The sequence below is a fragment of the Homo sapiens genome, chromosome 16 (assembly GCF_000001405.40).
Source record: "Homo sapiens chromosome 16, GRCh38.p14 Primary Assembly".
NCBI classification, from domain to species: domain Eukaryota; kingdom Metazoa; phylum Chordata; class Mammalia; order Primates; family Hominidae; genus Homo; species Homo sapiens.
The window spans coordinates 10832197-10859529 of NC_000016.10; the positions used below are offsets into that span (position 1 = coordinate 10832197).

The 27333-nt window shown below is 46.6% G+C and overlaps 1 pseudogene, besides 3 other annotated features; it reads right to left on the reverse strand.

Moving 5' to 3' along the window:
• Positions 2005-2134: an enhancer, noted in NCBI's record as "active region_10390". NCBI's record gives its function as "activates an Ori minimal core promoter by ATAC-STARR-seq in GM12878 lymphoblastoid cells {active_cell/tissue: GM12878}" and the evidence as "EXISTENCE:reporter gene assay evidence [ECO:0000049][PMID:35858748]".
• Positions 6384-6903: an enhancer, noted in NCBI's record as "H3K4me1 hESC enhancer chr16:10932437-10932956 (GRCh37/hg19 assembly coordinates)". NCBI's record gives its function as "activates a minimal SCP1, AML or CMV promoter by ChIP-STARR-seq in primed H9 embryonic stem cells {active_cell/tissue: H9 hESC(primed)}" and the evidence as "EXISTENCE:reporter gene assay evidence [ECO:0000049][PMID:30033119]".
• On the reverse strand, positions 7402-9357 carry LOC729945 (Rho GTPase activating protein 21 pseudogene; annotated as a pseudogene).
• Positions 10836-11065: an enhancer, noted in NCBI's record as "active region_10391". NCBI's record gives its function as "activates an Ori minimal core promoter by ATAC-STARR-seq in GM12878 lymphoblastoid cells {active_cell/tissue: GM12878}" and the evidence as "EXISTENCE:reporter gene assay evidence [ECO:0000049][PMID:35858748]".

Sequence of the window (27333 nt, forward strand, 5' to 3'; positions counted from 1 at the left end):
AGGGGTGTGACAGCAGACAAAGGCCCTCAAAGGTGTATCAAAAAGTACCAAAAACTGAGTGGCTTAAAAATCAGAAATTCATTGTCTCCCAGTTCTGGAGCCTGGAAGTCTGAGATTAATGTGTCTACAGAGCCCTGCTCCCTCTGCAGGCGCTAGGGAAGGATCTGTCCCCAGCATCTCTCCTAGTTTCTGGTATTTTCTAGGCTGTGGCTGCGTAATCCAATCTTCACATGATGTTCTCTCTGTATGCGTGTCTGTGTCCAAATTTCCCCTTTTTATAAGGACACCGGTCATATTGGATTAGGGATCCACCCTACTCCAGTGTGACCTCATCTTTCTAATGATGTCTGCAATGACTCTATCCCCAAGTAGGGTCACATGTTAAGGTACAGGAAGTTAGGACTTCAATATAGGAATTTTGAGATGAAGGACATAGTCAACCCTTAACAGAAGGTAACTGTGGCTCACCCCACAGGGGGTTCTCAGAGTCTCCAGTGGGAGGGGGGAGCTGGGGTATTTATACTCTCCTGTCCATCTTGCCCTTGCCCCATTGGCTCTAGGAAAACACACAGGCAAAGCAGGTTCCAACATCATGAGGAGTGTCTCTAGCTAAGAGGTGCAGGGGCTGCTGTTGGAAGTGAAAGCTCACCAGGACCTGGTGGGAATGAAGATGGTGACAGGATCCGAGGGACTGTGGGCTCCTGCCAACCACCATCATGGTGACACAGAGGAAAGAGTCTTTACTCCACCTCTGTCATCCACTACCTTGGTGGGAATTGACCAGTAGGGTGGCCCTAAATGAGTCACTGGCCTCTCTGCCTTACTTTCTCCACATACAGTCCACACCAGCTGGGACCAGAGCTGCTAGGAAAAAGAATGGATGATGCCCACTCACCCCCATCCATGTGCACCCCAACCCAGCTGGCGCTTGGGGAGTGTCAGCAGGTGGAGGTGGTAGAGCCCTCATACCTATCAGCATCAACTCACTTACAGAGGGACTGAGGAGCCCCTGGGAGAAACAGGACCCCCAAATCAGATAGCCCTCCCCATGAGTGAGCTCAGGATATTCAAACACAGGTCTTGAAATGCGGCACCTGGATTCTTGGCCAAGGTACCTCGAGGACTGGATTTTCATTTCTCAGCCTCACTTGGCCTTTATACCTCCGAGACGCTGCATTCACCATTCATAATTTTAGCTCAGTTCACTTGGAAAAACCCAACCACAAAGCAGAGAACTTGAGAAAGGCCCCAGTCTGCATTTGGTGGGTCCAGGCATGGCCACTTCTACCCAAAGGGTGGTGTCAAGGCCCCTCCCTGTGTTCTGCCACAGCCAGGAGACTTTCATCCAACTGTAGCCAGGGGACTTCCGCTCATGGGAGTCACCAAACACCCTTCTTTTATTTTTTATTTTTTTAGAGACAGAGCCTCACTCTGTTATCCAGGCTGGAGTGCAGTGGCACAATCACAGCTCACTGCAGCCTCGACCTCCTGGGCTCATGCCATCCTCCTGCCTTAGCCTCCCGAGTGGCTGGGACAACACAGGTGCATGCCACCAAGCCCAGCTAATTAAAAAGTTTTTTTTTTGTTTTTTTTTTTTAGAAACAGGGTCTTGCTATGCTGCCCAGGCTGGTCTCAAACTCCTGGACTCAAGTGATCCTCCCACCTTGGCCTCCCAAAATGCTGAGACTATAGGCATGAGCCACTGTGCACAGCTGAAATGCCCCTCTGAAGCATATGGGGTGGGACTTCTTGGCCTCATTTTCCAGATAAGTGGCTGAATCTCAGAGAAGAAAAGGGACTGGCCAAGGCCACCCAGGGGGGTGAGACCATCTCTCCTCTTTCATCTTGTGCCCTTCCCTACAATCCCACCTCCAGACCACATGCAAAGTGAGCTTGTTGCCCAGCAGTAACTGGATCCCGTAGACGCCTGCTCAAAACTTTCTTGAGGCTTCCCTGCCTACACAGTTGAATCTCAGTGCCACGTGGCCTGGCCCTGGCGACTTCTCCCCCACTCTCAGCCCCTGCCACTCTATCTTCCTCTCCAGCCCGGGCCACACCACCCACCGTCCTTGGTAGCTGCTCTTGGAATGCACCAAAGTTGACTTGGGGACTATGCCCTCGCCGTCTCCCTTGCCTGGCACACCCTCCACACGCCTTGGTGACTATGCCCTTGCCATCTCCCTTACCTGGAACACTCTCCACACGCTTTGGGGACTATGCCCTCGCCATCACCCTTGCCTGGCATGCCCTCCACATGCCCTGGCATGCTCATCACACGGCCAGCTCTTCCATGTCCTTCAGGTGGCAGCTCAGAGGTCACTTTCTGGAGGAGCCACGGTTGGTGCCACACTAGGACCTTATGACACTCACTCTCTGGCAAACACCTGGGACTCTGCCTGGGGGCTGTCTCTGTCTTCTAGAAGCCTCAAGACCCAACAGTCAAGGCCAAAGGTCTGGAGTGGTGAAGCCCCCAGATGCTGCACCCAACCATTGACTTTCAGGAGCTGATGTACCCCCAATCATCCAACACATCACTCCATCAAGTTCCTTCCCATCTTCATCTGGAAGTATCCAGGTGACTTGCTTGTTGACTATGTGTTTCCCCAACTCGAATGTAAGCTTCTTGAAAACAGGTTCATGATCACCCTCTTCCCCCAGTCCATGTCCCCAGCCCCAGGACAGCTCCTGACTGATAGCAGGTCCCCTGTACATAATTGATGAATGAATGAATGAATGAATGAATGAATGAGTGGGTGATGGAATAAGTCAATGAACCCCAATCCAGTGCTCCTTCTCCCCTCTTCCTCAGCTCTCACTGGAGCTAGAAAACAAAAATCTACCTTCAACCATCTCCTGACTCAGCCCCATCCCCAAGGAGGGGCTCACACCCTGGTCCCTGGGAGATTTTTTTGTTTTTGTTTTTGTTTTTATAAGATCTACACCCAGCCTCAACCCTGAACTCTGAATGAATTCGTCTGGCAGGGGGACCCAGGCAGCAGCGTTCTTAAAAAACTGCCCAGGAGGTGCCAATGTGCAGCCAGGGTGGAGAACCACTGGTTTAGAATTTGGGGAGTAGGGGAGGACCCAGACAGAATCCAAGGTTCTAGGGTGGCCAACTCTCCTAGTTTCCCCAGACCAAGGGGATTCTCAGGAGGCAGGCTCTGCAGTGCTAAAACTGAGATAGTCCAAGCAAACCAGGATGAGTGGGTCACTCTACGTGTTCCCCATGCCACCTGGATAACAGACCAGCCAGCCACACCGCTGCCCTGGCCACTTCTAGAGGTCCAAGTCTCTTGAGATCCCCACTGCCTTGTGGAGAGGGCCATGAATCCTGCTCTAGACCTTGAACATCAGAGGAGGGGAAAGGGCCACAGACGGACAGCATGGGGTGAGATTGGAACCACGGCTCAGGCAACTGATGCTGATGAAGATCAGGCCATCCTTCCTCCTTTCCTCACCCCCACCCCAACCTAGGCAGGTGTGATTCTAACAGAGGGAGCTGGGCTTTCCCATGTGGCTTGTGGGCAGTGCCTATTCATTGTGAGAGTCTTTTGGGGTCAGGCTGGATTTGTTTCCGCTTCATTATCCCCTACCCAGGCCTGGCACATATTAGGTGCTCAGTAAACAGAGGCACGATACTAAAGGCATGCAAGAAATTGATCACCATGTCAGCTGGGAACGACCTAGCTTTTTCACCCACTTTCCTCACTGCACACACCCAGTGTCTGCTATAGTGTCAGACACAGTGGAGATGCTCAATGCCTGTTTGTTGACTGAACAAAAGAAAACATTGACAGCTTTTCCAAACAGGCTTCTGTCTCACTCCAGCCTCTTGCCCATTACTCTGTTGGGGATTTGGGGGCCTTTTCCTCACACCCCTTGGTCTGAGTATTCATCCAACCACATGAATAAAATTAAACTTTTATCTGTTCTGTTATGTAGGGCAAAACTACCAGCTGACCCTAATATCTTCTTACATCAGATGAGGATTTTTGGCTGGCTCATGGTCCTATCAGCTAAAGATCACCCTTCTTGGCCTCCCCTGCAAGGAGTATGGTAATGTAAAGTAAAGCTAATAAAGTAAGTTGTGCCACTTTGGGATTATATTTTCCCTCTGATAGAATGCAGTTGTGATGGTAGGAGCTGGAGCAGCCATGTTGAATCATGAGGTGGGAGCCATGAATAAAGATTGGGAAACCAAGAAAGAGAGGGAAGCTGAGACCCTGCCCTATAGAGCCCCCTTATCTGTTCTGAATAGTTGATACTTGGACTGTTACCCAAGAAAGAAATACATTTGTCTCTGCCTGGCCTTTGTCACAGCAGCCATACCTATATCTTACCTTATTTTGAATCATGCAAAAAATGGGTAGATGGATATTTGTCCACTGTGGTGTCGTGTTTGAGATCTTTTGGCTTAAGACACTGGCTCCATGACTCATGCATGGGGAAGCCCCCTAAAGAGATAAGCACTTACCCAGGGTACAGAGGAGTAGAAACTAAGCATGAAGAGAGGCTCTCAGGACTGCCAGTGGGAAAAGGGTGCTATGGCTTGGATATTTGTTCCCTACAAACCTCATGTTGAAATTTGATCCCCAATGTTGGAGGTGGGGCCAAATGGGAGGTGTTTAGGGCATGGGGCATGGGGATGGATCTCTCCCTCCCATGGGGTGAGTTCTTGTTCTATTAGTTTCCAAGAGAGCTGGTTGTTAAAAAGAGCCTGGCACCTGCCCCTACTCTTGCTTCTTCTCTGTCCATGTGATCTCTGCACACGTGGACTTCTCTTCACCTCCCACCACAAGTGGAAGCAGTCTGAGGCCCTCACTGGATGCCCAGTCTTGAACTTCCAGCCAGCAGAATCATGAGCCAAATAAACCTCTTTTCTTTGTAAATTACCCAGCATCAGTTATTCCTTTATAGCAACATGAAATGGACCAAGACAAAGGGACTTCAGTATTAAGATACTAAGCATAAAAAATGGCAGTTTCCATAGGTGCCCCAGTGTAAGAGCTACATGGGCAGACACTCCAAAACACAAGTGCTACTTTGCACTGTGCTGCTTCTCCCAGGGCCCAGAGAGATTAAGCAACTTGACCAAGGTCCCACTGGTAAGTGGCAGAGCTAGGACTTAAGTCCAGCTGTGATATGATTTGGATTTGTGTCCCACCCAAATTTCATGTTGAACTGTAATCCCCAATGTTGGAGGTGGGGCTTGGTGGGAGGTGATTGGATCAGGGGGGCAGTTTCTCGTGAATGGGTGCTCATGAACAGCATCCCCTGCGTGCTGTCCTTCTGATAGTGAGTGAGTGAGTTATTGCAAGATCTGTTTGTTTAAAAGTGCGTAGTACCTCCCCCCTTTGGAGCAACAGGAATTCTCATTCACTGTTGGTGGGGATGCAATAATGGTGAAGCCACTCTGGAAGACAGCTTGGCAGTTTTTAACAAAATAAACATACTCCTACCATGCAACCCAGGAATCAGGCCCATTGGCATTTACCCACATGAGCTAGAAACTCATGTCTACACAAAAAACTACACATGGATGTTTATAGCAGCTTTATGCATGATTGTCGGAACTTGGAAGCAACCAAGATGTCCCTCGGCAGGTGAATGGATAAAAACCGAGGTACATCCAGACAATGGAATATTATTCACTGCTAAAAAGAAATGAGCTATCAAGCCACAAAAATACATGGAGGAAACTTACATGCATGTTAGTAAGTGAAAGAAGCCAATCTGAAAAGGCTATTCTCTGTATGATTCCAACTCTATGACATTCTGGAAAATCTATGGAGACAGCAAAAAGATCAGTGGTTGCCAGGGGTTGAGGGGAGACAGGAATAAACGGGTGGAGCACAGGGGATTTTTAGAGCAGGGCAAACTCTGTATGGCACAGTAATGGTGGATTCATGTCATTACCCATTGGCCCAGCCTCACAGAATGTACCTCGAGCACATTCATCCACCCTAATGTAAACCATGGACTTGGGGTGATGATGTGTCAATATAGATTCATCAGTTGTAACAAATGTTCCACTCTGGAGAGGGATGTTGAGAATGGGACAAGCTGTGCCTGTTTTGGGGGAGGGCGGACAAGGGAAACCTCTATCTTCTGTTCAGTTTTGCTGTGAACCTAAAACTGCTCTAAAAAGTAGAATCTATTTTTAAAAATCTGAGGGTTTGGGTTGAGGACTGAGGACTTATAGGGCCGTCTCCAGGCCTTTAGGATGGTCCTGGCTTCTGGTCCCAGAGCTCATGAGGGGTATCCCAGTATTGTACAGGAGAACCAGGAGAGGCTTACAGCAGATTTGGAGCCAGGGAGCCCAGGCTCGTCTGCTTCTGAGGGGCAGCCTGGGGCCCTCAGTGGTACAGGAGCAGTGGCCCCTGACTGGCATGAGGTTGGCATAAGCCTTCCCTGGGATATACTCAGAGCTTGGCATGTTCAAGTTGAAAATCATTCTTAGAATTTCTCGGCCGAGCGCGGTATCTCACACCTGTAATCCCAGCACTTTGGGAGGCTGCGGTGGGTGGATCCTAGCCCAGGTTTCTCAGCTGAGGCACTGCTGACATTTTGGGTTGGATAACTCTATGTTGTGAAATTCTGTCCTGTGCACTGTAGGATTCAGCATCTGTGGTCTCCACCCACTAGATACCAGACACACCTTCCCTCCCTGTTGTAACAATGCAGAATGTCTCCAGACATGGCCAAATGCCCCATTGAGAACACTGCTCTCATCACCTTCACTTTCCAGATAGGGAAAACTGAGGCCTGTGGGGGCCAGGACTTACCCAGGGTTTCACAGCACCTGAGAGCTGCTCAGGCAAGGTGGATTTGGAGCTGCCCTGCCCAATTCCTTGGCACTCGAAAATCCAGCACATGCCCAATGTCCCAGGCAAGCTGTGGCTCTGCACCTGTGGGCTCCATCCACCGGGGCCAGGGTGAGAAGGAGGCAGTGAATGCCCCAGGAGCAGCCCCCCGTAGTGATGGTCTGGGTGGAGGGTAAATGCCCCATCTCCCTCGCCCCAAAGTGGAATTGAGCCTCAGTTGCTCATCACCTATTCTGACTTCGTTTCCTTCCTGGATCCCTCCCCAAATAAACTATTCCCACCCGCATCCTTATCTCAGGATCTGTTTCTAGGGAACCCAAGGATTGCATTGTATCTTGCCTGTACTTCCTGCCTTCAAGATTCTCTGCACCAGGTTATGATCTGGAGTATTCCTGAGCCTGGGAAGCCAACAGACTGTCTATGTTTGTCCGGTGGCTGGAGCCCAGCTGGTAGGCAACGGTGCAGCCCTGTGGGTGGGGCCATCTGTCCGGCATTCATTCGGCTTGGTCTGGTATTCTTTCTAATGCTAATGCCCTGCTGAATTTCTTTCTTTCTTTTTTTTTTTTTTTGTTTTTTTTTCACCAAAATGATTTTTATTTCGTGTTTAATTGGGTATGCACACAGGCTTGACACAGGTTTGGATTCATTAAGTCCTTATGCAGAATTATATTCTTCTTGATAAAGAAGCCCGTTCCATCCAGGATCCACTATCTACACACCTATGTTACAACATTTCTATCAAATCTGGTATCTGCAGAAAAGATACACATTTAATATGTTCATTTAAGTTATGTATTTTGCAGAAAGATTAAAAATTCAAGTCACGCAAAACTCAAAAACTGTATCAAAAGTTTGAATATAAAACTCAGATCCACCTGGAATGACTAAAGAATTGAAGTTCTGTATCCACCTGTGTTAAAACTGGTAAATGTAATGAAATTTGTTACCGATAAAACACATTCATTTATTCAACGTAAGTTATCTAATTTTAACAATAGGGCACCTTGAAAACCAAATGTATTTTTATGATGAGGCACTTCTGTTTGTGATGAAACCAAAAGAACAAATTTGCTGCACACTAATGCCGGCGATTTTCTTCAGTGACTTGGGGTATATGCTATGTAGTAAGTTGCAACAAATGCCTCGCTCATTTGTATATGACTATCCGATATATTTTTAAATATATATATATATGTTCTTCTGGCTGTAGCAATGCACTGTAAAGCTATTTTACAGTGCAAAATGATGAAACCAGCCCAAATGAAGGCTGCATAATAACAATTCTGGTACAAGAAAATATTGACAGAGTTGCTGGAATGTGTAACAGTAGCTTTTTACTTGCTAGAGTAGACATACCCCCAGTTTAAAGACAGGGATGAAATTGTGATTTATTGCCTGAGGTTTCAGACAGTTTATGAGGTTGGGCATTCGCTGCAGAACTAGCATTTTTGCTCACGTTCTGGAAGCTTTCTCCGTTTATTTGGTCAGGTGACTGCGGTGGTATGGAAAGAAGGGGCCTGTTTGTTGAAGCCAAGGTGCTGGAAGAACTGCCTGTGTCGTACTGACAAGCCAAAGGTGTGTCGGTCGTGGCTATTTCTCGTGTCCTTGGGTTCTCTGCCTGGGGATCTCCGCTTTCTCCGCTGCTAAGGTCAGAGGTACTAGTGTGTAGGCAATTCCTGGCCAGCCAGTCTGAGATGGAAACGTCCTGGGCTGAGCATTTTGGTTTTAACCGGCTTACAGCTGAAAGTTCAGATTCTCTCTCCCAACTCCGCTCATGCGCTTTCCAAAAATTCCAAACGCTGATTTCAGTAGCATCTCTGTGCCCTCCTAGCGTATGTCTGCGCCGGGTGCTTTTCCTTTTAGCAGTCGCGGCATTCGCTTTGTGATTCCCTACTCCAAACACGTCATCCGCAGGGGCTCTGGGTCTCAGTTTTAGCTGATCTGCTTTTTTCGTTTTCCATGTGGATTCCTGTTTTTCGGATCCACCTCTGGTGGGTGTCAGTAAACTCACAGTTGACTTTCCTTTTTTCATAACATCAAACACTTTAGTTAATGAAGGTGTTTCTTTCTCGTTCTTGGCATCTCCTAGACTTCCACTGTCTGACTTGAATCTCGCTGATTTTTTCCTGGAGAGAATATCACATGTGATGAGTTTATGGGAACTGAAGAGCTGTCTCCGGCTATCTAAACTTGATGTTAAACTTCCCTCGGTGCAACTTACTTCACTTCATTCAGAATTTCTCCGGCTGCTCTTAGTCACTTTTTGCAGTTTTCCTCGGAAAAGCCTCTCCGAAGTCAAAGCTGTGGGGAAAATGGGAAACTCGTTCCCGCTGTCGGTTTCCACAGGCCGCCCTTCAAGGATCAGTTCGCTTTTCTCGTCGTCTGCCTCGTCCCCCTTGCTCTCTGCCACGACTGCACCTCAGGGCTCAGTCTACTGGAGTCCAGGCTAGTCAAGTATGTAGCAGACGATGTGGTGGAATAATCTGAGGTGATGGTGCTGACGTTGGCCAAAAACTCACTATGTTTCCTTTCTATGCCCTGCTGAATTTCTTATAACAGTTTTATTGAGGTATAATTCCCATACCATACAACTCATCCATTAAGAGTGTACAATTCAATGGCTTTTTTTCTTTTCTTTCTTTTTTTGGAGACAGTCTCACTCTATCACCCAGGCTGGAGTGCAGCAGCACGACCTCCGCCTCCTGGGTTCAAGCAGTTCTCCCACCTCGCCTCCGAGTAGCTGGACCACCATGTCTGCTAACTTTTCGAATTTGTTTATAGCGATGAGGTCTCCCTGTGTTGCCCAGACTGGTCTCGAACTCCTGGGCTCAAGTCATCATTTCACCTCAGCCTCCCAAAGTGCTGGGATTACAGGTGTGAGCCACTGTGCCCAGCCATTGGCTTTTAGTATACAAACAAAGTTGTCCAAGCTTCACCACAGTCAATTTTAGAACACCTTTCTTTTTTACTTTTTCTTTTTAGAGAGAGAGGGTCTCACTTTGTGGCCCAGGCTAGAGTACAGCGGTGGGATCACAGCTCACTGCAGCCTCCAACTCCTGGGCTCCTGCCTCAGCCTCCTGAGTAGCTGGGACTGCAGGAGTGCGCTACCATGCTCAGCTAATTTTATATTTGTAGAGATGGGGGTCTCATTATGTTGCCCAGGCTGATCTCCAACTCCTGGTCTCAAGTGATCCTCCTGCCTCAGCCTCCCAAAGCATTGAGATTACAGGTGTAAGTCACCATGCCCAGCTCCCTTTGTAACTTTTGAGAAACTGGCAGGCTATTTTCCAAAGCTTCACTCTATCAAAAAATATATATATTTTTTAAACAATAGCATAACATATATAAAGTGCAAAATCATAAATGTACAACTTAATGCATTTTCAGAAACTGAACACTCCCGGAGATCCAGCATCCAGACCAAGAAACAGGATGTTTGCAGCCCCCAGAAGCCCCTGTGGGGGTCAGTCGCTTCCAGCCACTCCCCTGCCAGAGGAACCATTGTCCTGCCTCCTAATAGCACAGTTTTTGTTTCCTTTCTGGATTTTAAATATTCTCCAGTTTAGGCATGGTGCCTCACACCTGTAATCCCAGCATGTTGAGAGGCCAAAGTGGGAAGATTGCTTGAGCCCATGAGTTTGAAACCAGCCTGGGCAACAGAGTGAGACCTCGTCTCTAAAAAAAATTAAAAAATTAGCTGAGCTTGGTGGTGCATGTCTATAGTCCCAGCTACTTGGGAGGCTGAGACAGGAGGCTCATTTGAGCCCAGGAGTTCGAGGCTATAGTGAGCTGTGATTATGTCACTACACTCCAGCCTGGGTGACAAAGTGAGATGCTGTCTGTAAAAATAAATAATATAATAAATATATAAATATAATAAATAAATAAATAAAATATAATAAATGAGTATTCTCCTTTCCTGGTGAGGGGTGGAGGCTGGCAGGAGGGCCAGGCTGAGGATGTCAGAAGAGAAACCTTACTCCCAGATCCTAGAAGGAGAGAGGCACCCCAGCGAGGCGTGGGGACTGGGGCCTTTGAGGCTTCCTCCTCACAGCCCCTTGCACCTTCCCACCTGCTGGGAGTTTTAGGGGGTTTCCAGAGGCTGCAGAACCAGGACAATATTTTCTAGAGTCCTTGAGTTTGGTGTGACCACAGGCAGCCTGAAACCGAAAGCCAGGCCTTGGGACTGGGCGGCTGCTTCCCTTGGCTGGGATTTAAGCACAGGCCAGACACACATGAGGCCTTCAGAGCCATCCTGCCAGCCGTGTGACCCAACAGGCAGGGTCATGCATGTCTTTATCTGACATCAGAACCCACCTGGAGAGCCGCTGTGTCTTAGGTGTGTCCTGAGACCAAAGCTGGAAGTTCAGAGCACATTGCCCAGAAGAAGTGAGACATTTTCGAATTTTTTTTTTTAATTTGGACACAGGGTCTTGCTGTGTCACCCAGGCTGGAGTGCAGTGGTGCAATCTTGGCTCACTGCAGCCTTGACCTCCTGGGCTCAAGCGATCCTTCCACTTCTCAGTCCCGCGAGTAGCTGGGACTACGGTGTACACCACCACATCCGGCTAATTTTTGTATTTTTTGTAGAGATGGGATTTTGCCAAGTTTCCCAGGGTGGTCTCAAACTCCTGGGCTCAAGTGATCCACGCACCTCAGCCTCCTAAAGTGCTGGGATTATAGGCATCAGCCATCGCACCCAGCCTTGGAATGTTTTAAGGGACAGTCATGATAAGACTGTTGCTGATGCCACGAGAAGCGCCCAGGAAGCAGGGTGTGCTGGCTAGCTTCTGTTGCCTCCAGAGGGATTCCCCTCCCTTCTCTTCCCTTCCCCACCTGCCGTCTGCACAGATGCTGACCATAAGAGCCCCAATCAGCAGGCAGCTGTGGTGCCCACCACCCACAGGCTCCCATTGGCCAATGCGGGGCCCAGACAGGAGATTGGAAGGTGGAGGAGAATGAGCACACTGTTTTTATACCTCTGGCTCTGCCCATCAAAGATAAACAGAGCCCACCACTAGCTAATGCACTGAAGAAGATTTCATTCAGTAAAACCATTGCAACAGGGAAGAGGGACCAGCATGAACCAAACCCAATTTCCCCAAAATAAAATGCTGGAGACTTGTTATTTTTTTTGAAACAGGGTCTCTCTGTCACCCATGCTGAAGTGTAGTGGCATGATCATAGCCCACTGCAGCCTCCACCTCTCAGGCTCAAGTGATCCGCAGCCACCAGAGTAGCTGGGACTACAGACGCAGACCACCATGTCTGCTAATTTTTAGAACTTTTTTTGTAGAGACAAGGTCTCTCTGTGTTGCCCAGGCTGGTATGGAACTCCTGGACTCAAGCCATCCTCTCACCTCGGCCTCCCAAAGTGCTGGGGCTGCAGGTGTGAGCCACCACCCCTGGGCGTCCCTGCTTCCATCTTCACCTGGCCTTCTCCTCTCTCTCCTGTGTCTCAAATCTCCCTCTACTTTCTTTATAGGGACACAAGTCTTTGGATTTTGACCTGTGTCAAACCTATATCAAGGATGATCTCATCTTGAGATTCTTAATGAAATCTGCAAAGATCCTATTTCGAATTAAGTTTGCTCATGTATGGAGAGTTAGGACTTGAACATTTTTTTTTTTTAAGGTAGAAATGAGGGCTCTTTATGTTGCCCAGGTGGGTCTTGAACTCCTGGGCTCAAGCCATCCTCCCACCTCCGCCTTTCAAAGTGCTGGGATTACAGGTGTGAGCCACTGTACCTGGCCACGGACATTTTTTCTTTTCTTTTCTTTTCTTTTCTTTTCTTTTCTTTTCTTTTCTTTTCTTTCCTTTCCTTTCCTTTCCTTTCTTTTCTTTTCTTTTCTTTTGTTCTTTCCTTTTTTGGAGATGGAGTCTCGCTCTGTCTTCCAGGCTGGAGTGCAGTGGTGCCATCTCAGCTTACTGCAACCTCTGCCTCCCAGGTTCAAGCGATTCTTCTGCCTCAGCCTCAGTAGCTGGGATTACAGGCTTGCACTACCGTGTCCAGTTAATTTTTGTACTTTTGTATTTCAGTATTTTTGCATTTTGTAATTTTGTATTTTAGTAGAGACGGGGTTTCACCATGTTGGCCAGGCTGGTCTGGAACTCCTAACCTCAAGTGATCTGCCCCCTCAGCCTCCCAAAGTGCTGGGATTACAGGCATGAGCCACTGTACCTGGCCACGGACATATATTTTTTAGGGACACAATTTAACTCACTGCATTCTACCTGCCTCCATCTTTTCCCATCATTCTGCTTTCTATACAGGGCAACAGAAGGCTGGGTCGGTACGGAAGACAGGTGAGGCCTCTATGAATGAGTATCCAGACAACTGACTAAAAGAGTTTAGGGATTCTCTAAAAAGAGAAGTGAGAAGGCAGAAGAGAAGAAGGCATCAAAGAAATAAAGCCAGAAATTTTCCTGGAACGGAAGAATACGGAGCGGTAGATGAATGGTGGTTCTTTCAATATCTTGTTCCAATGAATGGATGGGAAGGCACCCTGATGATAACAGGTTTGGCAGTCAGGTGGGGTGGAAGATGGAAATTAGTTCTTAGCCTTTCCACAAGTAGCCTTTTAGTAGGTATAAACTCACACACCGTCAAGAGAATTGAGGCAATGTTGATGAGTAAAGCAGGCATGTGCAAGGCGATAAGGAGGAGTGGAAATTGTGTCCAACAATGGACACAATCCGTGATGTAAAAGGACGTTCCCTTTGCATCAGTCTGCTCAGCCTGCCATATTAAAGAACCATGGACTGGGTGGCTTCGGCAATAAAAAGGTTTATTTTCTGGCTGGGCGCAGCGGCTCATGCCTGTAATCCAAGAGTTTGGAAGGCTGAAGCGGGAGGATCACTTGAGGCCAGGAGTTCAAGACTAGCCTGGGCAACATAGCATGACCTCCATCTTTATTTTACTTCTTTTGAGACAGAGTCTCACTCTGTTGCCCACGCTGAAGTACAGTGGCGTGATCTCACCTCACCGCAACCTCCGCCTCCCCGATTGAAGAGATTCTCCTGCCTCAGCCTCCCGAGTAGCTGGGACTACAGACGCCTGCCACCACACCCGGCTAATTTTTGTATTTTTAGTAGAAACGGGGTTTTACCATGTGGCCAGGATGGACTCTGTCTCTTGACCTCATGATCTGCCTGCGTCGGCCTCCCAAAGTGCTGGGATAACAGGCATGAGCTACCGCGCCTGGCCCCTAATGACTTCATTTTAACCCGATGTCCTTGTTGAAGAGTTGGTCTCCAATTACAGTCACATTCTGAGGCGCTAGGTTTTAGGACTTCACCATATGAATAGGGGTGGGGGACTCAATTCAGCCCCTAACACCTTCTGTGAAGACATTTCCCTTCACATTAAGAATAATTCATGTTGAGCCTGGGCAACATAGCAAGACCCTATCTCTACGAAAATTTTTTTAAAAATTAGCTGGGTGTGGTGGTACATGCCTGTAGTCCCAGCTACTCAGGAAGCGGCAGGATCGATCGAGCCCAGGAGTTCAAGACTGTGGTGAGCTATAATCATGCCACTGCACTCCAGCCTAGTTGACAGAGTGAGGCCCTGTTCCGAATAAATAAATAAATAAAAATACTTCATTTTGCATGCCAACCACTCTTGTCCACCCTCCCACCCCACCACTCACACACACACACACACACAGAGAATGGCAGTTTGTAGGCTCTTAGCAACACGTTCGTTGATTGAAGAATGGTGGACATTGGTTGAAGTTGGTTCCCGCATGGGCGGAATCTGGCTTTGCAGGAGTTCGGGGAATCTGTCCCCTGCACAGTTCAAATTTGGAGAAGCAGATTAATGTACTTACTTGGAAAAGAGAACTTACCCCTGTGGTTTCTCTGTCTTGGGAGGAAGTTCCATGAATAAACAACCAACTTGTTTTTGAAATACTTTCTACCCAAGTACTTTGAATACTTAGAATGATCCCCTAGGTGATCCTTGAGCTGGGGACACAATTTCGGGAGCTGGGTCAGCCTAAGGCAGCCGCTCAACCCACTCGCCTTTCTTGGGTCTTCCTTGGGGTCTGCAGATGATCATGGTGCACACTGTTACCCTCTCTGGAGGGGGCAGCTCCCTATAAGCATTCATTGAGTGTCTGCTGAATGCAGAATCTTTTGGTGGTAGGAGAGAGGGGGAAAGAGAAGGCATATGAGTTTGTGGTAGGCTGGAAGGTGAACCCTGGCTTAGCCCTTGAATTCTAACAATGGTTTTTGCCATTTTGTGCTGTGAGATCATGAACAAGTGACTTTGCCACTCTGATTCTCAGTTTTCCTGTCTGCAAAATGAGGATGTGCCTGCCCACGTTGTGGGATGTGCCTTCCCCATATTGCAGGATTACTGGGTGATTCAAGTGTGAAATCCTACATGAGCATGCTTGCAAAAGTCACAAAGGCCTGGGAAGCAGAGTATTGTCATTGTTGTGGGGTGAAACCAGAAATCGGAGAATGATTCAAAATTCACATGTAAGATCAATGCCATTGGCTGTAAAGTGGAATATTAGAAAAGGAATCTCTAAAAGATGTGGGGAAGTAAAACAGAAAGGGAGGAAATGTGGCTTGATTTCCTGCTGGCTACTGTGAGCTGCACAAATTGTTCTAGTCTTGTGCGCTTTGGGCTCGTCATAGTAAGATGGAGATCAAAACGTCTACCTTGCCAGGTCATTTCCAGATAATAATAGTAATAAATTGGCCAGGTGCAGTGGCTCTCACCTGTAATCCCAGCATTTTGGGAGGCTGAGGCGGGTGAATCCCTTGAGCCCAGGGGCTTAAGACCAGACCAGACAACATAGCAAGACCTCATATGTACCAAAAATGCAAAAATTTTCCAGGTATGGTGGCATGTGCCTGTAGTCCCAGCTACTTGGGAGGCTGAGGTGGGAGGATCACTTGAGCCCAGGAGGCGGAGGCTGCAGTAAGGGGAGATCACACTACTGTACTCCAGCCTGGGCGACACAGTGAGACTCTGCCTCAAAAAAAATATATAGTAATAAATACTAATATGTAGTGGACACTTACTGTGTACTGGGCACTGGTGTTTCATAGACCATGTCTCCTTTGGGTGCCACAGAAACCCTAAGAAGTAGGAGTTTATTTCTACTTCCATTTCACAGATATGGGCTCAGAGAAGTCAACTAACTTGCCCAAGGTAACGCAATTTTTGAGAGGCTCCCCAATATGTGCTATTTGATCTGTGAAAACTCTTGCAAGATGTCAAGCTTCCAGTGAAGCTTCAACGTTGTCAGCAACTGCAAATGCTGGGGACAAGGAGAATACAAAACTGGTGAGCAGTGGGTGGATTAATCTGAGAAGCCTTCCCGGAAGAAGCAGATGTAAAGTTGCGTTGTGAAGTGGATTAGGATTATTGAGTTCCTGGAGGAGGTCTAGAACGGTGACTGGCGTGTGTAAGTCAAGGGCATACAGATGGTATTTAAAGACGTGGGGCTGGATGGATTGCCCAAGAAGTGAATGTGGCTAGAAAAGAGAAAAGAAGCCTGGGTGCAGTGGCTCATGCCTGTAATCCCAGCACTTTGGGAGGCCGAGGTGAGAGGATCGCTTGAGCACAGGAGTTTGAGACCAGCCTGGCCAACACGGTGAAACCCCATTTCTACTAAAGATACAAAAATTAGCCAGGTGTGGTGGCACATGCCTGTAAGCCCAGCTACTCGGGAGGCTGACACAGGAGAATCGCTTGAACCCAGGAGACACAGTTTGCTCGAAATACTCATTTGCTTGAAATTGGGCCACTGCAGACCAGCGTAACCAACATGGAGAAACCCCATCTGTACTAAAAATACAAAATTAGCTGGGCGTGGTGGCACATGCCTGTAATCCCAGCTACTCAGGAGGCTGCGGCAGGAGAATCGCTTGAATCCAGGAGGCGGAGGTTGCAGTGAGCTGAGATCGTGCCATTGTACTCCAGCCTGGGCAACAAGAGCGAAAATCCAGCTCAAAAAAAAAGAGAGAGAAGAGGTTGAGAATAGAGCTTTGGTGTGCTCTAATTTGAGAAGTGGAGGTGATGAGGGGGAAATACAGGAGGAGAAGCAACCCCAAATTGGAAAAACATTTCAAGCAGCGAGTGGTAGACCATGGCAAATGCTGATGGTTTTTCATGTTAGATGTGGCAACAGCAACCTTGACGAGAGCTATTTGGGAGAGAGGCAGGAGTAAAAGCCTGATTGGAGGAGGTTTAACAGAATGGGACTAAGCACAGTGGCTCATGCCTGTAATCCCAGCATTTTGAGAGGCTGAGGCAGAAGGATCACTTCAGCCCAGGAGTTTAAGACCAGCCTGAGCAACATAGGGAGACCTTATCTCTAAAAAATAAAAATAAATTAGCCAGGCAAGACCTTACCTCTAAATAGGGAGACCTAAATAATTAGATGTGTGCCACTGTGCCTGGCTAATTTATTTTTATTTTTTAGAGATAAGGTCTCCCTATTTATTTAGGTCTCCAGTGAGACCTTATGGCTAAAAAATAAAAATAAATTAGCCAGGCATGGTGGCACATACCTGTGGTCCCAGTTACGTGGGAGACTGAAGTGAGACTGCTTGAACGTGGGAGGTCAAGGTTGCAGTGAGCCATGATTGTGCCAGTGTACTCCAGCCCGGGCAACAGAAAAAGACACTGTTTCAGAAAAAAAAAAAAAAAAAAAAGGAAGGAAAGAAAGAAAGAAAAAAAGAGAAAAGAGAAGAATCCGAGACAGAGGAGTATAGATAATGCTTTCAAGGAGTCTGGCTCTAAAGGTAGCAAAAAACTGGAGCTGGGCTGGAGGAGGATGTGCAGGAACCTAATCCCCCAGAGAGGTGCCTTCTCCTGTTGGCCGTCTCTAGCACCCTGGCCTACCCTCTACATGGTATCCTGCATGGACTTGACACCAAATATTTGCAAAATGAGTAGTGATTATAATAGCCATATCACTCATCATTCTCCTCATCCCTGCAAGGTTGCTAGGAGGCTGAAAGTAAAACAAAAAATAGCTAAGAAAGCTCCCTGTAAAGTGAGGTTCATTCTTCCTTTGCACGCTAATCATCATCCTCATGGCTAATGCGATTTCTTTTTGTTTCAAGAGATTTGGCTTCATGGTCACATGCTATAGCTGGGAGTGTGAAAGCAGGTACAACCTTTTGGGTGGATGTGTTAGCCCGTTTTGTGCTACTCTAACAGAATACCCGAGATTGGGAAATTTACAAAGAAAAGAAGTTTATTTAGCTTGTGGTTCTGCAGGCTGGGACGTTCAAGGGCACAACACTAGCTTCTGGCAAGAGTTTTTATGCTGCATCATATCATGGCAGAGAAGGTCAAATGGGAAACAGACACATGCAAAGAGGCAAAACCCAAAGGTGTCCTGGCTTTATAACAACCCACTCTCAAAGGAACTAATCCATTCCCATGAGAATTAATCCAGTCAAGCAGAGCCCACTCATTACTGCATTACTAGCACCAAGCCATTCGTGGGGGATCCATCCCCATGACCCAAACACCTCCCACTAGGCCCCACCTCCCAACAACGCCACATTGGAGGTCAAATTTCAACATGAGTTCTGGTGAAGACAAACACACCATATCCGAACCATAGCAGTGGGCAAGTTGGCAATAGATGTCAACAGCTAGGAAGTCAAATGTACATGACTATTGCAACATTGTTTGTAACAAACCAGATCAATGTCAACGTCCACCATTAAAAGGACTTGGTTAAATAAGCAATGATATATTCATTTTGTACAATATTGTAGAGCCATTAAAAGGAATGAAGCAAGTAAATACACAAAACAAATAAAGGAATGAAGCAGATTTGCATGCACTGACATAGAAAGGGGTCCAAAATACATTACACGAAACATTTGAGAGTCAAGTTGCATAACAGCATAATTACAGAATGATATTTAAAGATTTCCATAGATTGCCTCTAGAAAGAGAGACTATGTATGGACAGCTGGATTTATTTCTTATAAGTTTCAGGGAGAAGAAACGAGGAAAGGACAGTGTAGGGAATAATATTCTCACTTTGAAGATGGAGTTGTTCTTTTCCAGGGGAACAAAGCCAACTCTGAAACCCCCTCCTAGAATCTGAGGCTGAGCAGCATGGGGAAGAGTTTATTCTTTTTTTTTTTTCTGAGACAGAGTCTCTCTCTGTTGCCCAGGCTGGAGTGCAAGGGCATGATCTCGGCTCACTGCAACCTCTGCCTCCTGGGTTCAAGCAATTCTCCTACCTCAGCCTCCCAAGTAGCTGGGATTACAGGCGTGTGCCACCATGCCCAGCTAACTTTTTGTATTTTTAGTAGAGACAGGGTTTCACCATGTTGGCCAGCCTGGTCTCGAACTCCTGACCTCAGGTGATCTGCCCCGGCCTCCCAAAGGGCTGGGATTACAGGCAGGAGCCACCGCATCCAGCCTCTACAGGAAGAATTGATTCTTATCTACAGGTCACTTTCCAGGTGCCCATGGAGGTGATTTCACCCAAAACTGCGTTTTCCCAAACATACCACTCCTGAAATTCCCCAAGCCCTCCTCGCTGATTCAGGGGGTAGGAGAGGTAGGTGGACAAACACCATCTGCTTAGAGAAGGCAGAATCATAGCAGGTAAATCCTTCCAGCAGGGTTTCCATAACCTGTAGCAACTGTTGTTACCATGGAAACCCAAACAATAGCCACCATTACAGGAGAAGCCATAGGCACTGTTTTTCCCAGGGTTTAACTAGGCCAAGACCAAATCAGAGGCTTCATTCATTCATTCATTCATTCATTACTAGGGGTTTAAATCTAATGCCAGCCCCTATGATGGGCATTGGGAACATGAAGGTCAATAAGACCCATTCCCACCTATTAAGAAGCTCACAGTCCCAAGAGGCGAAGACAGGCAGTTAAATAAGTAATTATAATTCCATGAAAGGACTTAGTGAAAATCCAAGTGTTCATTATCTGGCCCCCACCCTTCATCCATAATAAATTTTAATAATGTTTTAATAAAGTATCTGGTCTTAGGTAAGTTTAATTTCCAAGTTTAGGTCTTATGCATTTCATTTCCACCTTTCCTTAGGCCCTTCTTGACTGTGAGTTATTGTTATAATATTTTTAACTTTTTGTTTTGAAATAACTGTAGACTCAAGTGACCTTGCAAAAAGAGTGTCAAGTGGTATTGTGTATCTTTCACCCAGCTCTTCCCAACTGGAACATCTCCCATAACTACATTGCATTACTAGCACCAGGAAATTGACATCAGTCCAATAGAATTAACTAGACTCCAGACCAGCAGAACCTTCCTTTTTGAACCCTAGTCTGGCTCTGACCATCATATCAACACCCTCTTTTAGTCTGTCTGTCTCTGAGTGTATGCAATCATTTGCAAAATGAAGCTGCCATCCTTGCCAAGTTACAGAATTTCCTGAAGTCAATGTAAATGATGCACCCACAAAGATATCAACAAATAAGCATCTGGTAGACTTAGGCTAAGAAACAACTGAGGAAGAGGAAATTGACAAGAAGACTGGACAGGCGCTTAAAACAGATAATTTCATTATGAAAAGACAAAGAAAGACCCGTTGGGAAACTAGTGGTACTTTCTAACGTTTTTGCAAAAATGACTTCCTTTCTGTGTGATCATGGCCTGAAACTTGCAGAAAACGGTCATATCATGTGTTCCAACAAATTTTTTATCAGAAAATTATGCCTAAAAGAAAAAATATACATCACTCCTGGCTTCATACTCTGTTCATTCTAAAAATGTGTACAGTTTTGCAATTATAATTTCATTAGCTAAAGACAGAATAATGTCTACAAATTTTAGTTTCATTTAGTTTCATTTTTAAGGTAGAGTCTCAATCAAATAATCAAATCCTTTTTCCCCTCAATATTTACTATGAAGTTTTAGTCCCATTCTGACTAGATTTGCTTTTACCTGTCTTTCTCTGGCACTAATGATCCTTGAAGATAAAAAATCCCCTGCCAAGGTATTATAGGGCAAAGGACACAATAACCAGTTCTGCAGGAAGGTGAGCGAAGCCTTCCACTAAGTAACATTTGGGCTGGGTATTGAAAGATGTGTAGGAGTTCACCAAGGGAAAATGAAGGAGAAATCTGTGCAGTTAGAGAATAGTGTGTCAGAGTCTGAGAAGGACAGGAGAACATGGCTTCCTTTCTGATGTCATGTTTGGGCTGTGGTGAGGTTGCAGGCAGAGTGAATAGAATGAAGTAGGAACAATTTCCTGTGATAGGGGATGAGCCTGTGTGGGTGAAAAGAGCCGTCCTGAAGAGCTGACGCTTCATCCAAGGCAGTGGGAAGCGTTGCTGGAGGGTTTTGCGATAAGGAGGGACATGACCAGTGGTGCAGTTTAGAAAGATCCCTGTAGCTGCCACGGAGGATGACGGTGAAGGCAGGAAAACAAATATTATTATTATTATTATTATTACTATTACTATTACTATTATTTGAGACAGAGTCTTGCTCTGTCACCCAGGCTGGAGTGCAGTGGTGTGATCTTGGCTCACTGCAACCTCCACCTCCCAGGTTCAAGCAATTCTTGTACCTCAGCCTTCTGAGTAGCTGGGACTACAGGCACGCCCCACCACACCCAGCTAATTCTTGTATTTTCAGTAGAGACAGGGTTTCGCCATGTTGGCCAGGCTGGTCTCGAACTCCTGACCTCAAGTGATCCGCCCACCTTGGCCTCCCAAAGTGCTGGGATTACAGGTGTGAGCCACCATGCCCAGCCAAACTTTCAAGAGTGGTGGTTACGATAGAGACTCTAGATGAGACCACTGTGTGGAGTCAGGCTCCACCACTGACTAGCCTGGGACCCTCACTTAAGCTTGATGAGCCTCAGCTTCTTCATCTGTAAAATGGGAATGATGATTGTACCTACCACATAGGATTGCTGGGAGGACTAACTGTGAAGTCATGTGCTTAGACCATGTAGGGAGCCAGGTTCAGATGAGAAGTGACGAAGAGAATTTAAATTACAGATGATAGGCCGGGCGCCGTGGCTCATGCCTGTAATCCCAGCACTTTGGGAGGCCGAAGGGGGCAGATCACCTGAGGTCAGGAGTTCCAGACCAGCCTGGACAACACGATGAAACCCCGTCTCTACTAAAAATACAAAAATTGGCTGGGCGCAGTGGCTCACGCCTGTAATCCCAGCACTTTGGGAGGCCGAGGCGGGCGGATCACGAAGTCAGGAGATCGAGACCATCCTGGCTAACACAGTGAAACCCCATCTCTACTAAAAAATACAAAACAATGAGCCGGGCGTGGTGGCAGGCGCCTGTAGTCCCAGCTACTCGGGAGGCTGAGGCAGGAGAATGGCGTGAACCCGGGAGGCGGAGGTTGCAGTGAGCCGAGATCGCACCACTGCACTCCAGCCCAGGTGACAGAGCAAGACTCCGTCTCAAAAAAAAAAAAAAAAATTAGCTGGGTTTGGTGGCTGCACACCTGTAATCCCAGCTTCTTGGGAGGCCGAGGCAGGAGAATCTCTTGAATGCAGGAGACAGAGGCTGCAGTGAGCTGACACAGCACCACTGCACTCCAGCTTGGGCAACAGAGTGAGACTTCGTCTCAAACAAAACAAAACAAAACAAAAATTACAGATGATAATTAAGGCTGGGTGAGGATGAAGGATGGAGGTGAACAAGAGACTCCAGAAATCCCAAGAACACATCACCGAGTGACCTGGGAACAGATTGCATGGTGTGGGAGGTCATGGTAAAGGTGGAAGATGATTCCGGGTCTCCCGCCTGGCTGTCCCGGGAGCGGGCGGGAAGGAATATCATTCACTGACTCAGGGAACAAAGGCAGATGAGCAGGTCTTGAGTTCAGAGCCAGTGGATTTGTTTTGGAGCATGTGTAGAAGGACAGAAGCCACATCGCCACATCATAGTTAATTCGCTTTATCTTTACGTGAGAAGTGTTTCTTTTTTGAGATGAGTTTCACTCTGTTACCCAGGCTAGAGTGCAATGGTGCAGTCTCTGCTCACTGCAACCTCCACTTCCCAGGTTAAAGCGATTCTCCTGCCTCAGCCTCCCAAGTAGCTGGGTTTACAGGTGCAGGCCACCACACCCAACTAATTTTTCGTATTTTTAGTAGAGACTGGGTTTCACCATGTTGGCCAGGCTGGTCTCGAACTCCTGACCTCAGGCGATCCACCCACCTCAGTCTCCCAAAGTGCTGGGATTACAGGCATGAGCCACCATGCCGGGCCGAGAAGTCCTTTTATTTAATGCATGTTTATCATAAACAGTTTCAGAAGGACCTATGGCAACTATAGCAGCTATCTCAACTCCTAGAAATTATGCCTTTTAGAGTGTGAGGACAATAGAGGGCTCGAGGAGGAAAAGGACTGAGAAAATAGTGTAGTAAATTTCATGCATCTTGACGTCATTTATATATTAAAGGTAATGGACTTCTAGTTCTGCCACTGTGGAGGATTAGATACTTTCATGACTCTCTCTGCCCACTGAAACAACTAAACTGCTGGATAAAATATTTTAAAACATCCTTTTAGGCCAGGTGCAGGGGCTCATGCCTGTAATCCCACCACTTTGGGAGTCCAGGGTGAGAGGATTGCTTGAGCCCAGGAGTTGGAGGCTGCAGTGAGCTATGATCACATCACTGCACCCAAGCATGGGCAATAGAGGAAGACTCTGTCTCAAAACAAAGACAAAAACAAAACCATTTTAAAACACATTGGTGGGCCAGGCATGGTGGTTCATGCCTGTAATCCCAGCACTTTGGGAGGCCAAAGCAGGCAGATCACTTGAGGCCAAAAGTTTGAGACCAGCCAGGCCAACATAGCAAAATCCCACCACTGCTAAAAATACAAAAAAATCAGCTGGGTGTGATGGCGCATGCCTGTAGTACCAGCTACTCGGGAGGCTAAGGCAGGAGAATTGCTTGAACCAGGGAGTCGGAGGTTGCAGTGAGCCGAGATTGTGCCACTCCACTCCAGCATGGGCAACACAGCAAGACTCTGTCTCAAAAAATATATACATAAATATATAAAAATAAAACACATTGCTGGTCTGGCACAAAGATAAGGCTCCTTAGATCCTACAAATGGCATGAAGTTAAGAATGCTGGTGAGCACTCAGTAAAGGTGTTTTTTTTTTTCCTGAAGGTTCCTATCAAACTCTAGAGAACCTGAGCTTCCTCCTTTGAAAGCTGTAGAGCATACTAGGAGAACTCAGGTGAGAATTTTTGTTTTGCTTCTGTTTTTTTGAGACAGGGTCTCACTCTATCACCCAGGCTGGAGTGCAGTGGTGCATTCACATTCACTGCAGCCTCACCCTGCTGGGCTCAAGTGATCCTCCCTCCTCAGCCTCCCAAGTAGCTGGGACTACAGGCACCACCAAGCCTCGCTAACTTTTTTGTATTTTTTGTAGAGACAGGGTTTCGCCATGTTACCCAGGCTGGTCTCCATCTCCTGAGATCAAGTGATCTGCCCGCCTCGGTGTCCCAAAGTGCTGGGATTATAGTCATGAGCCACCGCACCCGTCCACAGGTAGATTTAATGGTAGATTTCTGCATACAGCAGAACCCTAATGGAGTACACTGTCACTGTAAGAATGAGCAAGAGCTAAACCCTACCAGAGAAACAGCTTTGAAACTTGCCTGTCCCAATCTTAGGGTTGAAAGTAGGAAAAGAAAAATATCTTACCTGAGAACTTGTCATTACAAAGGGGTCCTTACTCAGGTTTGTGACCTGAATTCATGCTATCTAGTAATAATAATAATAATAATATAAAGATGTTATAAACTGGAAGTAGGGTGCTTTAAGATTAGCAGAGGTGGAGTCAACTCCTCTCTAATGGAATTTAACTTTATTCCAGGATTCAAAGGTCACCTACAATGAAGTTCTAAAGAAATGAAGAGCTCACATTAAAAAAAAAAATTACACACACAGGCAAAGAAGCATAGCATCTTGAGTGGAAGTAAATAGAAACCATAGACAGTAAACACAGAGGTCAGGCCCGGTGGCTCCCTCCCACTTTGGGAGGTCAAGGTGGAAGGATCACTTTAGGCCAGCAGTTCAAGACCAGCCTGGGCAAAATAGTGAGGCCCCATCTTTACAAAAAAGTTTAAAAATTAGCCGAGCATGGTAGCAGGCGCCTATAATCCTAGCTACTTTGGAGGCTGAGGCAGGAGGATTACTTGAGCTCAGGAATTCAAGGATTCGAACTGAGGAATTCATTGAGCAGTGGTCACACCAGCCTGGGCAGCAGAGTCTCTAAAAGACAAATAAACAAACCCAGAGACTTCGGATACCCGAATAGAGATACAAATGTGTAAAATCAAAGATGTGCTTAAGCCAGCTGGCGGAGCTCGGGAGAGCTGATTGTGGGCATCTCTTCCCAACTCCACGTGCAGCAATATCATATTGGTAGCCTGACATTGTCCATGGTGGGAATATTTACACCACGGAGGTTGGCAAACTCTAAATTAGGGCTTCTATTTTTTTTTTTTAAAGAGACAGTGATACAGTTGTTTAACATTTACTAGAAGACTGCTGAATATATTTATTTTATTTATTTATTTATTTTCAAATACCAACTCAAATCAGATGCTGAATTTATTTGAAGATTAACAGAGAAGCTTTAAAAAAAATCAGGGAACAGGGACTATAAAGAACAACTGGGCAGGACACATTGGTTCATGCCTGTAATTCCAACACTTTGGGAGGCCGCCCAAGAGTTTGAGACCAGCCTGGGCAACATAGGGAGACCCCATGTTTACAGAAAAATTTAAAAAATTAGCCAGACATGGTGGTGCATGCTTGTAGTCCAGCTACTTGGGAGGCTGAGGTGGGAGAATTGCTCGAGCCCAGGAGGTTGAGGCTGCAGTGAGCTATGATTGCGCCACTGCACTCCAGCCTGGGCAACAGCGCAAGACTCTGTCAAAAAATAAAAATTAAATGAGTAAATTTTACAAAGAACAAAATAAGACTTCTAGAAATGAAAAATATAACTAAAAATGAAAACTTAGTACACAAATTAAATGGTAAATTAGTAGATTTTCTGATTCACTAATTCTGAAGAAGAAAGATGTAAGAGATATGTTAAAAGACATAGAAGACAGGTGTAACATAAAACAAATTGGAGTTTCAGAAGTAAATAACAGAGAAAATGGGAAAGGTAATACTTAAGGATAGGTGTATGTCTTTGTATATATGCATCTCTATTCAAGAGAACATTTATCTTGAATGTGCTCTTGATAAGACTTCAAAGGAAAGAAAAAATGCACTCTGACCTGGAAATTTTGATCTTAGTTTACTAAATGTAATTTGTCTGCATTGACTATTTAGTCTACGTCTTCTAAAACTTCAGAGCAGGCCAGGCATGGTGGCTCACACCCATAATCCCAGGACTTTGGAAGGCTGAGGAAGGAGGATCACTGAGATGTTAGGATTACAGGTGTGAGTCACCACACCTGGCCCAGATTTACCTTTAACTAATAAGACTGTAAGCTGCATAAGACTGGCAATTTTCTTTTTTTTTTCTTTGATTTTTTGTTCATGATTGTTTTCCCTGTTTCTGTTAGTGCCCCACTGGGGTTGATTCATTTATTCAATAAATGAATGAGTTTGTTAGATGGCTACTACACGCCAGGCCTAGTCTAACATATGATGAACATCATTTCCCAGTTGAGGAAACTAAGACATAGCGCTATAAGGGGGCATGTTCAAGCTTATATGTAATAAAGCAGGGATTCAAATCCACTTATACTAACAACATGGCCAGGCGCGGTGGCCGACACCTGTAATTGCAGCACTTTGGGAGGTCAAGGCGGGTGGATTACATGAGGCCAGGAGTTTGAGACCAGCCTGGCCAACATGGTGAAACCCTGTCTCTACTAAAAATACAAAAATTAGCAGAGTGTGATGGCGCACGCCTGTAATCCCAGCTACTCAGGAGGCTAAGGCAGGAGAATCGCTTGAACCGGGAGGCGGAGGTTGCAGTGAGCTGAGATCATGCCACTGCACTCCAGCCTGGGTGACAGACCAAGACTCTCTCTCAGAAAAATAGAAGAATACTGATAAAGGTGGCAGGAATGGTGGTGGTGATGATGGTGGTGATGACAGTGGTGGTGATGATGATGGTGGTGATGATGGTGGTGGTGGTGGTGGTGGTGATGGTGGTGGTGATGGTGGTGGTGGTGGTGATAGTGGTGGTGGTGATGGTGTTGGTGATGATGATGGTCATGATGGTGGTAGTGATGGTGGTGATGGCGGTGATGGTGGTGGTGATGACGGTGGTGATGGTTGTGGTGATGATGGTGATGGTGGCAATGGTGGTGGTGATAATGATGGTGGTGATGGTGGTGGTGATGGTGGTGGTGATGGTAGTGATGTTGGTGGTGATGTTGATGGTGGTGGTGTTGGTGGTGGTGATGATGATGGTGGTGGTGATGGTGGTGGTGATGGTGATGATGGTGGTGATGGTGGCGATGGTGGTGATGGTGGCGGTGATGGTGATGATGGTGGTGGTGGTGATGGTG